The 14020-nt window shown below is 38.3% G+C and overlaps 1 protein-coding gene across 12 annotated transcripts in view; it reads left to right on the forward strand.

The window, feature by feature from the left end:
• The window catches only part of POLR3G (RNA polymerase III subunit G), a 40629-nt gene that overhangs the window by 3771 nt on the left and 22838 nt on the right, over positions 1-14020 (forward strand). For 6 of the 12 annotated variants that reach the window (NM_001370354.1, XM_047416634.1, NM_006467.3 and 3 more), the window contains exons 2-3: positions 7826-7985; positions 10301-10430. In NM_001370354.1, the coding sequence (NP_001357283.1) occupies positions 7869-7985; positions 10301-10430 (247 nt within the window). In that variant the 5' untranslated portion in view covers positions 7826-7868. Of the gene's footprint in view, positions 1-7329; positions 7986-10300; positions 10431-14020 lie in introns of all 12 variants that reach the window. The other 6 variants (XM_011543101.4, XM_047416635.1, NM_001370351.1 and 3 more) reach the window with 2 other exon arrangements.

Below are 14020 nucleotides of genomic sequence, written 5' to 3' on the forward strand. Positions count from 1 at the left end.
GGTGGAGGGTGTCCAGGTTCTTGGCGTCTTGAACAAAGAATTGGACGAAACGCGCAAAGCAAAGAAAGAATGAAGCAACAAAAGCAGATACTTACTGAAAATGAAAGTACACTCCAGTGAGGCAGTGGGTGGAGCATATGGGCTCAAGGGTCCCCTTACAGAATTTGTGGGGGTTTAAATACCCTCTAGGGGTTTCCATTTAGTTACTTGGTGTACACCCTATGTAAATGAAGAGGATGAAGTAAAGTTACAAAGTCATTTACTTGGCATATGCCCTATGGAGAGGATATTTCCTGTCATAGCCGTAATGTGAATTGGCCTTTTGTTCCCTGCCTCCAGACCCTATTTTCCTGCCTCAGTGTGGACAAGGAACTGTGTAAGACGTGGAGGACAAGACATTTCAGTTACCTCATAACTCATAAAATGTTAGAACTAGGAGGAATTTCAGAGATTAGCTCAGCATCTGCTAGGACGTTGTTTTGGTAGTTGATTAAAATTGACTTTTTTATTTCAGCTCTTGGATGCTTAAACTACACCCATTTTCAAACCTCTCAGAACAATTCTGAATAGAAATTTTCAGGAGACATCCTGAAATGGAAGGGGCAATGCTACTGATTTTACATTTTTAATTGAGTCTGTTTTGCAGTTATTAATTCACTTCATTGAATAAAGACCTCCCTGGGATTAAAAAAGTCTTCTAACCAGCCTAGACCTATGCTTCCTGAAGTGTAATGCAAATGGAAGAACAGTGGAAAGGTAAAGCAGTCCTGCTTTTGTTAGGAATTAGCTTTGCGTCTTTAGGTAATCAAGTAACCGCTTAGGGTGTTGCTTTCCTCTTCTGTAAAATGGGAGGTTTAATCTGCGTGGTTCTTTTTTTTTTTTTTTTTGAGAGGGAGCCTCACTCTGTCGCCTAGGCTGGAGTGCAGCGGCGCAAGCAACCTCCACCTCCCGGGTTCAAGTGATTCTCCTGCCTCAGCCTCCCGAGTAGCTGGGACTACAGGCGCGTGCCACCATGTCCAGCTAAGCCTGTAGTCCCAGCACTTTGGGAGGCCGAGGAGGGCAGATCACGAGGTCAAGAGATCAAGACCATCCTGGCCAACATGGTGAAACCCTGTCTCTACTAAAAATGCAGTGGTTCTTAATTTGGGTTGCACACTGTAATCTCCTGGGATGCTTTAAAAAGTCCTGATGCTTAAATGGTACCTCCAGAGCTTCTGATTTTATTGTTCTGGGGTGAATCCTGGGTTTTCTTTTCTTTAAAACCTCTCTCAGTGATTCCAATGTGCAGCCAGGTCCCACTCAAAGAAAGGGGGAAAAAAGCCTTAATAATGGGCTGACTGAATTGTCCTTCTGTGGGTAGATTTGCTCATCAAATCACAGTGCACAAATAGGGTAAGCTTGACATTAATTGTGGAGCTGTTGCTATATAGGAAGCACTATGGTAGACAGTAGGGAGGATAAAATCCCTGCTTAACACAGAACCAACAAACAGCCAGGCGCGGTGGCTCATGCCTGTAATCCCAGCACTTTGGGAGGCTGAGGCAGGCACATCACCTAAGGTCAGAAGTTCAAGACCAGCCTTGCCAACATGGTGAAACCCCCATCTTTACTAAAAATACAAAAATTAGCCGGGCTTGGTGGCAGGCACCAGTAATCCCAGCTACTCTGGAGGCTGAGGCAGGAGAATTGCTTGAACCCGGGAGGCGGAGGTTGCAGTGAGCCGAGATCGCACCAATGCACTCCAGCCTGGGCGACAGAGCAAGAGTCCATCTCGGGAAAAAACAAACAAACAACAAACGAAAAACATAGGTGAAACTCCTCCCCTTTGGAAAAGATCAATTTCCCAAAAGTGGTATTCTATTTCTTTGAAAATTGACAAGTGTGGCAACATATATCACCTGAAATTTTTTTTTTTTAATCTGTGTTTTAACAGGAGGATCTTTCCAAGAGCAATGTGGGATGAAGTGGTTGTTGTGGTTGCTGAGGGACTTAAACTGGCTTTTTTGGTGAAAAGGGATGTAGCAAGTCAGGGAGGCAGAGGGAGTAAGTTGCAGTGGAAAGACTGGTATTCAAGACATGACTATAGTGAGTCAGGAGAATAGGGTGCAACCATCTTAAAAGGGCTCTGAGTAAATAGGGAGTTTGGATTTAATTCAGTTAGCCAAGAGGGAAGATGAGGAGAGTAGCAGAATCAAAACTGTGCTTTAGGATGAGTAATGTGGATCCATAAATTAAACAGGAAGAACAAGGGATACCACAAAGTTTGCAGTTAATCAGAAGTGAGGTGAAAAAGGACTGAGCTGGATTATGGTAGAGAAATTGCAAAGAAAGTGACATTTAGAAAGAATATGATTGATCAGTGCTCTCTGGCTCCTAGCACAGTGCCTGGAATGCTCAATATTGGTTGAATGAATGACTCAATGAAATTGGGCCATATGAAGTAGAGAAACATTTGGAGCATGAGGAAATATAGAAAGCACTAAAACTCCTTTATTCTAGAGTTTGGTGTATTGAAAAAGGAATGAGACAGTGGTTAACTCAACCACAGTCTCACTTGTAGGCTGTTTCTTTCATGATACATTTACCAGGATCCAGGGACTCTCTCTGAGCTCTGCAGGAGAAGAAAATGAATTTATCAGCTCCTCTGTGTACAGGGTAATGGATTCATGAAAACTAACTTAAAGAGATGGGTTTGTAGGCTGGAATGCCACATAATTATTAAATGTGTCAAAAGCTAGGAAGTTTTTCTGGCAAGGGTGGTACCTTCGCTAATGATAGCAATTCATACACCCAAAGATTGCTTGATAAAAATGGAAATTTAGAGTCAATAGAGTTTGTTATTTTTCAAGAGCTGTTCCATGAAGCAGTGCTAGCTGGTGTCCTCTTTTTTTAGGGTGAGTTTTCCAAACTTTTCCAGGGCCCACCTCCAAAGATTCTGGTATGGTAGGTTTGAGGGCTTGAAGAAAGCCTAGGACTCTATGTTTAGCAGGTCCTCCAGTTAATTTTCATGATGAGGAAAGTCTGGTAAACTTTACCTGGAATTGTTTTTAATCTTTAAGTAGTGGCAAATCCTGGACTGGAGTGCAGCCCAGTGGTTTTGAGTAGGCCTAGTGGGCTCTTGCAGTTGTTTCTTAGAGTGAAAGGTGTGACCCCTTCTGCTCAGCAGTTTTGATACTTGGGAGATACGCTTTCTCTAGGCTCAGCATATGTTTTAGTGACTCAGCAATTGAAACAAGTCCATTTGGATATTTTCCTGCTTTTTTAATGTAGAGAGATGTAATAAGCTGGGCTATTAAAATAAATATAGTTCCTGTATGAACTTTATTTCAAGGTAACTAAATAATAGATAAGAGAAATTGATCCCTGGTGGAATTCCAATTAATAAAACAGAAAGAAAGATAAAATTTGTATACCACCATTTTGCAATTCATAATGGAAAAATTGATCTAGATTGTGATCATCAGTGACTGCTAAAATCATTAGGTGAAAACTGATGGACACTTTATACTTAATGAAATAGACCAACACCTGAACCCATGACCAGCCTGATCAATACCAAGAGGGAGACTTTATGTTCATCTTGATGTAATAGAGAAGGAAAGAGAGAGCATCCCTTTTCAGTATTCTTGAAAAAAAAAAAAAAATCAAACCCAAATCTAAACCTCTAGTTTACCTGTTTATTGGAAATACACCCAGAGAATACAGGAATATGTTAAATCACATCTCAGGTATAAATCAGTCAAATCCAGAATATGGGAAATTATATAGCTTTGCTACTTTCAAAGTATGGTTTACAAACCAGTTGATGTCTCCTGAGACCTTGATAAAAATTCAGATTCTCAGTTTCTGTCTGCAGCCAACTGATTCAAAATCTGCCTTTTAACAAGATTCCTAGGTAATTCTCTTGTACCTAAAGTTTAAGAAGCATTGTATAGGGCACTGACCTAGTTTCTTAGACAAATAGAAAGAAAAAAAAATGGGAAAACCATTACAGTTTAAAAGAAAGTTAAATGTCATGTATTTTTTATATCTTGATTTGAACAAATTAACTGTAAAAACATTTATGTGATAACTAAGAAATGTGAATGTTAGTTCTATATAAGATGATGGTATAGAGTTATTGTTAAAATTGTAGATGCAATGTTATTGTGATTTTTTTAAAAGCCCTTAACTCTGAGAGAGGATACATACTGAAGAGTTTAAAATAATCTGAAGCATGGGAGTAGAAAAGTATAGTTAAAGTACAATAGTCATATACGGATAATTTTGAAGCTGAGTAGTGGGTATATGGAGATTTAATATACTGACTTTTGTGCATGTAAGTATAGTAAATGTAAGTATTAGTAAACCAAAAAAGGCATAGACTTGTAGTTTAAAACGACAACATTAAAGATGACAAATCAACTTTTAGTGTTCAAGCAGTTATGAAGGAAAACTCAAATATGGAGGCCTGCAGGGATAAATTTACGAAATGAATAATGTAAAACTATGAAACCCAAAGGGAGGGATTGAAACCAACTTTGCAAAAGTCATAACTGAGAAAATTATGACAGTGAAAGATATCAGACCTAATTGATCCCATCTTGCTTCTAACCTCTGAACTGTCCTTGTTCATTCTTGGGCGTGAAACCACCTTTGCAAAATTATGACTGAGACAGTGAAAGAGATCTAACCTAACTGTGACTCCATCTTGCTTCTAACCTTTAAGCTGTCCTTGTTCATTCCTGGGCATAGGCTGAACTAACTTTGGGAGGAAATTAGTTTATGGTTTGAAACAAAGACGATAACAGACTTTCCCAAAACAAACCTCCTCCTTGCCTGGGGACTAGACTGCCATTGTCGGACTAAGAAATTATTCACAAGATTAGAAATTATAGTTTCGGAGTCATGCAGCTGGAGGCTACAAGATTCTGACCCTCCCTAAACCACTCCAAAGATCAGTGCTTGAGATATTTTGCAGACCCTGCACTTGATGGATCAGGGGGCACTACCCAGATCGATTAACTGACTCTTCTGATCTTGTGGCCCCCACCCAGGAACTGACTCAGCAGAAGAGAACAGCTTTGACTTCCTATGATTTCATCCCCGAGCCAACCTATCTGCGCTTCCAGTTCACTGGCCCCCTACCCACCAAATTAACTTTAAAATCTCTGATCTCTGGCTGGGCGCAGTGGCTCACAACTATAATCCCAGAACTTTGGGAGGCCAAGGCGGGTGGATCACCTGAAGTTGGGAGTTCAAGACCAGCCTGACCAACATGGAGAAACCCCGTCTCTACTAAAAATACAAAATTAGACAGGCATGGTGGCGCACGCCTGTAATCTCAACTACTCGGGAGGCTGAGGCAGGAGAATTGCTTGAACCCGGGAGGCGGAGGTTGCAGTCAGCGGAGACCATGCCATTGCACTCCAGCCTGGGCAACAAGACCGAAACTCCTCCGTCTCAAAAAAAAAAAAAAAAAAAAATCTCTGATCTCCGAGTTTTCGGGGAAACTGATTTAAGGAATAATAAAACTCCGGTCTCCCGCACAGCCAGCTCTGTGTGAATTACTCTTTCTGTATTGCAATTCCCCTGTCTTGATAAATCAGCTCTGTCCAGACAGCAGGCAGGGTGAACGCCTTGGGCAGTTACAAAATCATATCTGAAAATGTTCTCAGTATCATAGCCATTATGTCAAATCAAATGCCGTGCATTCTACTTGAGTAATTCACAGAAAACAGGAAACGATGTTTCATTACATAAAGATGTTGAATATATGATTTGCTTCTGGGGCCTTAAATGTAGAAGGACATTAAAATTGGCCATCATTGGCAGGGTGCCATTGGCCGGGCACGGTGGCTCATGCCTATAATCCTAGCACTTTGGAAGGCCGAGGCAGGCAGATCACTTGAGGTCAGGAGTTTGAGACCAACCTGGCCAACATGGTGAAACCCCGTCTCTACTAAAAAAATAAGCCGGGCATGGTGGTGCGCGCCTATAATCCCAGCTACTTAGGAGGCTGAGACAGGAGAATTGCTTAAGTGAGGGAGGGAGGTTGCAGTGAAAAAAATAAATAAATAAAATATTTAAAAAATTAAATTGGCTGTCTAAAAGTGCAATGCCTTGTTACTGCTATTCCTTGCAAATGAATTAAAACTTGGACTGCCACATCCTGAGTGTTACATAGATTTACAGCAATTATAGTTATCTTACCTTTAAGGCAAATATTTTTAAGTTGCTAAGGCTAATTTTATAATTTTAAACCTCAAAGATGAGATCTATGAAGTCCTTGATTCTACATGTGTATTTTAACTCAACTACTCCTTAGTAGCTAAGACTTCCACCAAAACAGTTCTACCAATACTCTTAACATTTGCTGTGTATTAGAATCACCTGGGAAGCTTCTAAAACTGACTCTTGCCCAATCCTCACCCCAAGAGATCTGGATTGATTGGTTCAGTTCAGTGATTCACAGAACTTAGCATACATAGAATTATCTGGAAGGCTTCTTAAAACACCAGTGCTGGGCCCACTCACAGTTTCTTTTTTCTTTAGGTCTGTGGTGGAACTCACAGTTTGCATTTCTACCAAGTTCTGAGTGATGCTGCTGCAGACAGCACTCTTTGAGAACCATTGCTCTAGTTTCTTAAGCCACCCAAGTCATTCTAATGGCAGCCAGGGTTGAGAACTGAGAGCCGCTTGCTTTGTAGTGTTGGCCCTGTGATAAAGTGAGCTGGGAGTTTTCAGCCTTTTGGTCCAAAATAGTGCCTATATTCAAATTGTAGACAGTAAAATTGATATAAAGACGTAGCACCTTGTTGGTTTTACGTAGTGTTCCTTCACCATTAATGTGGTAGACTAAGAAGGGTAACATTAATGACCAGGCAAGAAACCCTGGTGAAGAGTAGAGCAGCTGTGTGAAGTACTGTGGCTTGCATAATTTTGCAAGGAGGGCAAGTGAGTAGATTCAGAAATGAGACTGAGCTGATGGGGCCAAAACCAATGCCACTCCTCTGACTTCCTCCGAGTGGTCCAGGGGACATACCATTTCTCTCTTGGGTTCAAGGGGTTAAATGAGGCTCAGTATTATCAGCAGGGAAAGAAATGTAAAGAATGTGCATTATAATCATCACTACAGTTGAATGCAGACTTCTATTGAAAGAACTCTAGCGTAGGGATCCCTGTTTATACATTGGCAGCTCAGTTCTCATAGTATAATCAGAGGATTCAAACGTTCAATACAACTTGCATATGTGATATCACTCCTGTCTCCAAAATTGAAGAGTACAGGTTTATCATAACTTTAATGATTTTAACTGTTTTTCTCTGAATTTTTTTTTTCTTGGACAGGCATCTTTCGAGTCTCATTGATCCCATTCCCATTTCTAGAAGGAAGACATTGGACTAGATCTCAGGGATTCTTCCAAACACTCACATGCTAAGATAAATCATTTAAAGTCTTAAAGTATATATGACTAATGATAGTTTTTATGTTGACATGAAAGATTTCTTCTCCTCATCAGCCTGGTCTTGTCTTGTGTCCACTTTTTATGTACATTACATCTGAGATCCTACTGCCAAACCACAGAAGGGTGGGTGAATTGCGTGGACTGGATGTGGGGCAGTAGTGGGTGAGGGGGTTGAAGCCATCATTATCTTACCTGCCAGAGGTGTGTGAGTGTGAGCAGTTCAACAGTCAGTTGTCACATGTTTATTTGTGTACATGTTTTGCTTTCCAAAAGTATTTTAAGTCAACTGTGCTACTTAAGGGGTGCAGTTTTATATTTTGCTTTAAAGTGTTGATTTCTTTTTTATATGTGATCCAGTAAATCGTAATCATTAATAGTGCCTTTCAGAATTTGCCCACTCATCTGGTATAACTGGTTCTGATGGCTGGGAATAAAGGAAGAGGACGTGCTGCTTATACCTTTAATATTGAGGCTGTTGGATTTAGCAAAGGTGAAAAGTTACCTGATGTAGTGTTGAAACCACCCCCACTATTTCCTGTAAGTATATGAACAGTTGAATTCTCATAGTGTGTTTTTTCATTTTTCAGAGAATATTAAAATTCTATATGGGACTGGATGTATGATTATAGCATCCTCAAGTATAAGAAAGTAAAGGAGAGTGTGTTTCACTTACCTTTAAATATTTTCATGATCTGCTTTCTTAAAATATAGAAAACAAAACTGTATACATCTTTCCATGAATATATTTAGTACTATGTGAACCAGTAAAGAATTAGTTTTCAATTCTTACAACTTGTATTGGTGTTATTGATAAATTCCAATATGAAAATAATAGTTTTAAAAGTCATTAGGTTTTATAATGGTTCTCAGTTCGCACCCTATCACACCTTCACTTAATGATTTTCTTATCTTGTATCTATAGAATTTAAGTTTGCTCCTTAGTATACCACTTGACTTTTTCCCCCACTGAACTTTTTTTGCTTATTTTAGTGTTGTTTTAAAATTTAGTGAGTATGCTGCAAGCTTAATTTCCATAATATATAATGTTTTCGCTTTATGTTTAGTTTAGAATGTATCCAGGGATCTAGATGTATCACACAAGGAGTCTCTGCGTTTTGCTCTTGGTATTTTACCTTTTTGATATTCAGCGCAGCATAAAAACAAAGACAAATATCTCAGGTATTGGCATAATGTCACTTTACAGTGCTTTTAAAAACAAGCTCTTTTCCATGTGTGAGGAGATTACCTCTAAACACTGGGGATGTTAGTACATAGTATTTCTTTATACTTGGAATAAAATTAAAATTCCTTACTACTGGGTAAAAGGCTCTGCCCGATCTCTCCGTTCTGATGTCTCTCTGACCCTTTTTCTACCACTGTCCTCATTCCCCAGCTACGCAGGTCTCCTTGGGTCCTCAGGCCTTTGGCCCTGCTGGTTCTCTGCTGGAACCATCTCTTCTCTTTGCATGGATGGCTCCCTGATTTTATCCCAATCTCTACTCAAATGTGACCTCCCCAAGAGGCCAGGCATGCTCACCCTGCATAGATTCCACCTCCATCCTCCATGCACTGTCAGTCATTTTTCCTTTACCCACCTTCATTTATTTTTATGTCATTTGTCACTATGTGAAATTGTATGTCACCTCATTTGTTTACTAATTTGTTGTATGTTGCTCTCCTAGAATGTAAGTTCCCTGTGGGCAGGGACTTTGACTTATTTATCATGGTATCCTCCATAGTCTAAACATGTTGAGTACTCAATAAGTAGTTGCAGCATGAATGTATACATTCCTAATCAAATTTTGAAAATGTACCTTATCTTTATCCTCTGAAATCAGAAATGTCTTTACTAGGTACCCTGGAGATCCACTTGTTAATGAACATATTTGTGTAAATATATACACACATACAAACGCGTATTTGTGTATATGTATGTGTGTGTATAATTTTTAAAACTTGAAATGCAGCTTCAAACTCCATCTTGCCATTTATTCACTTCTCAATTTCTTCACTGTAAAAGGATAAATATTGGTAGCCCTTTCAATGAGATACTGGATGTTGGATATTGAGTATATTGTAGTCATAGCAACCACTTACTAAATGATAGCTGCTGCTTTTTTATTTATTTATTTTTTTCCAATAATACCACCACTAGCTGAGGTTAATAAGAACCTAAAGCAGCTGCTCTCATTTGGGTACCTTAGTTTTTCTTTTTTTTTTTGGTACATTAATTTTTTTTTTTTTTTTTTTTTTTTTTTTTGTGAGACGGACTCTAGCTCTGTCACCCAGGCTGGAGTACAGTGGCGCGATCTTGGCTCACTGCAAGCTCCGCCTCCCGGGTTCACACCATTCTCCTGCCTCAGCCTCCCGAGTAGCTGGGAATACAGGTGCCCGCCACCATGCCCGGCTAATTTTTTGTATTTTTAATGGAGACAGGGTTTCACCATGTTACCCAGGATGGTCTCGATCTCCTGACCTCGTGATCCACCTGCCTCGGCCTTCCAAAGTGCTGGGATTACAGGCGTGAGCCACCATGCACGGCCTGGTACTTTAATTTTTAAAGTAGATAATCACATAGGTCAACAGACTGTTTGGCAAAATGATTATTGGTGTAGTTTTCAGGGCCAATAGGAAAATTACGCATCTTTCTTACCTCTAATAGAAGAGCAAAGTAGGAAATGGGTTAACAGGTTAAATAGACTACAGAAGTTCATCTTTTAAGTTGGTTGTAAAACTTAGTGCCTGTAAAACATAGTATTTCAATAAAACTGCTGTTTTCTATAATACAGATAAAAGGGATATTAAAATACATAATTGATTTGAAAAAAATCTTTGTCTCTTAATTTAAACAGGATACAGATTATAAACCAGTGCCACTGAAAACAGGAGAAGGTGAAGAATATATGCTGGCTTTGAAACAGGAGTTGAGAGAAACAATGAAAAGAATGCCTTATTTTATTGAAACACCTGAAGAAAGACAAGGTACTGTATTGGAGTCTTTGATTATGTGGCTTAATGTATACAGATGAAACAGTGTTTAAGCACAAGATATATAATCATTTAATGTTGATTGATTCGATTCAATAAAAAATTATCAACTACTTTGAAAAAGCTATTTATGTTGCTTTAACAGAAAAAATACTTTAAACTTTTTGATATTTTATTTTTAGAAATATCTTTCATTATAATTTTATATGTTCAGTGAAAATTATGAAAAACAGGAAAATTTTAAAAAGTAAAAATTACCCATTCTTATGTCTAGAGAACCACTATTAATATTTTAGTATATATTCCAGATTTTTTCTTATGCATGTATATTCTCTTTACAAAATTAGATTCACATTACTTTGTATCTTCCTTTTTTCACTCAGTAGCATATTAGCATTTTCACATATCCTTATTATTCTTGGAAAACATGACTTTTAATGACTGGTAGTCTACTCTGTGGATATATTATTATTAACTGTAACTAATTTCCTGCTTTTTAAATATTATTTTCAGTTTTTTGCTTGTATATATAATGCCGTGATTGTTATCATTATACATAAACCTTTATGCATGTCTCTGATTATTTAATATTTAGGTTAAAAAAATTTTTGAGACTTAATTTTGTTTGGTTTATCATTTAGGTGTTTGATATGATGTAAAATATGTATTCATTGGTGCTGCTTAGGGAAGAAAGGAAACATTATAGTTGGAGAGGGCTCAACAGTCTCAGGCTAGAAGTGGGAAGTGGTTTTATAGGAAAGGAAACCATTCCTGAGTAGCTGTTTAGCACAGCAGTACTATATTGATTTTTCACTTTCTGCCCTTGATTGTTGAGATTAGAGAGACTGATATCATCTTTGAGTTCTCAAAACAACATCATTAAAACATGAGAAATTCGTAGTGTCATCTCATTCCATTCGTATTAAAAATGCATTCCATTTTTCCTCTCTCTCTAGAATAGTTTGAATTGGCTGAGTCAAAAAAGGAAGCCTTATGTAATGATCTTAGCATGTGCTTATAATTATAGGAAGCATTTTAGACAAATTCATTTAATTCTCAAAACATAGCTGCTTTAAGTTATATAATGGTTTGATAAGAAATATTTTATCTCAAAAATACTTAATTTTTTTTTTTTTTTTTTGGAAATGGGATGGAGTCTCACTCTTGTCACCCAGGCTGGAGTGTAGTGGTACAATCTCGGCTCACTGCAACCTCCGCTTCCTGGGTTCAAGTGATTCTCACATCTCAGCCTCCTGAGTAGCTGGAATTGCAGACGCACAGCACCATGCCCGGCTAATTTTTGTATTTTTAATAGAGATGTTTCACCATGTTGGCTAGGCTGGTCTTGAACTCCTGACCTCAAGTGGTCTGCCCATCTCAGCCACCCAAAGTGCTGGGATTACAGACAGACGTGAGCCACCATGCCCGGCCTAATACTGAAATTTTTAACTCTCATGATGATGTTGCATGCTTTCGTCTGTTTGAGTTCTAAAATAAAACTTTTCATTTTAAAGATTTTAAAAAGTAAGACCAAATGAACTAATCAGTATTCATTCTTATTAGAAAAAATAGTAATGCAGGGTATACTTTAGTGCTTTTAAAATTGATCTTTTCTCTATGACACAGATGCACTTAGGTGAATGTGGTTGTTATTAAAGCACATGTCTAATTTAAAAGTATGTCAAATCAGACTGGACACGGTGGCTTACTCTTGTAATCCTAGCACATTGGGAGGCTGAGGCAAGCAGATCACCTGAGGTCAGGAGTTCGAGATCAGCCTGGCCAACATGGGAAAACCCTGTCTCTATTAAAAATACAAAAGTTAGCCAGGCATGGTGGTGCATTCCTGTAATCCCAGCTACTCAGGAAGCTGAAGCAGGAGAATTGCTTGAACCCGAGAGGTGGAGGTTGCAGTGAACTGAGATTATGTCACTGCACTGCAGCCTGGGTGACAGAGTGAGACTCTGTCTCAAAAAAAAAAAGTATATCATATAATTAAAGCATTTATGTGAGTGTTTTAGACAGGGATATTAAAAACATAATTTTGTTGTTGGTCTATGGGAGTGGTTGGCTAGTACTTGGATTAAGGGGCACTTTATCTTTGATAACTATGCAATAAAGTATTTCAAAATATAAGGGTTTTTTTTTTTTTTTTGCTTTTATTTCTTTCAGGGGAAAACTCTTGTATAGAAATTTCCAAATTGATACAAGTACATTCTCCCTGAGATCTTCATGTTTACTTCTGTCTTTTTTTATTTTATTGTTTTATATTTTATTTTGGAGATGAGGTCTCGCTCTGTCACCCAGGCTGGAGTGCAGTGGGACAATCATAACTCACTGCAGCTTCCAAACTCCTGGGCTCAAGTGATCCTCCCACCTCAGCCTCTTGAGTAGCTGGGACTACAGGCGCACACACCATGCCCGGCTAACTTTTAATTTTTTTTTTTTTTTTTGTAGAGACGGGAGTCTTGCTTTTTTGCTCACACTGGTCTCACATTCCTGGCTTCAAGTGATCCTCCCATCTCGGCCTTCCAAAGTGCTGAAATTACAGGCATGAGCCACCGCACCCAGCTTACCTCTGTTTCCTGATATAGTGTTTAAAAAACACACGCATGTTAAAAATAAAGGTTTTTCTATAAAATATATACATTTATATGTGCCTATATAGGTTTATATAATATGTGTATATATGTGCATACATAAATTTATATAATATCCATGCTATGAGTGAAAAAGAATTGGCCAGACTGAAGAGAACGACCCTACTGTCAGAGAGAATCATATTCCGGATAGAGATGTTGCATGACTGTACCTTCGCCAGGTGCATCACTTACCACCTGTGTGCTTTAGGAAACAGAGACTTAAGGGCTACTGTAAAGAACTAAATCACTAGACACTAGGACAGACAAATAGGGTGAGAGATCTCAAGACTTCCTGATAGTCAAGTGGCTGGTGGCTCAGGGCATTGAGATCAGTCCTCAAGAACTGATGGCATGGAATGAACATATTTCATGTTGCGATGTCTTCAAAGTTTGTTTTTAATGTTTTCAGGTAGGATTATAGAAATGATTAGTATTTTCTTTGCATCGAAATTTGTTATTTATATAATAAAGGAAAAACACCAATGAATATTATTTTAGTGAATTTTAGCTATAAGAGATCGTCTAGTCTAGTGGTTCCCAGCTCAGGTTCCTGAACCACAGGGTCCTCTGAAGTAGAAACATGATTCTGACAGTGGTGATAGTGTCATAAGTCATTTTCAGAACCTCAAAGCTTAATGGAAATTATACATTTACTTAAATACATCCACAGGTCTGTTACTGAATAAATGGAATTTGGCTTACTAATTCTTGATATACCATCAGTGTCCATGAGACCCAATATAAATTTTTGACGTTTTTTTTTTTTGGAGCAGTTCTTATTGTTTGTATGATTAATATTGATAACTTTTATTCTTGCATAGAGGTTTTCTAAAGAAGAAACAGACATTTTCTTAAAAAGGAAAACTCATTTTATCATAGAATACCATATCAGCCCATTGGACCCTTTTATATATCTAAAATAATTATGGAATCTGAGTGATC

Source organism: Homo sapiens, chromosome 5, assembly GCF_000001405.40.
Source record: "Homo sapiens chromosome 5, GRCh38.p14 Primary Assembly".
In the NCBI taxonomy this organism is placed as follows: Eukaryota; Metazoa; Chordata; class Mammalia; order Primates; family Hominidae; genus Homo; species Homo sapiens.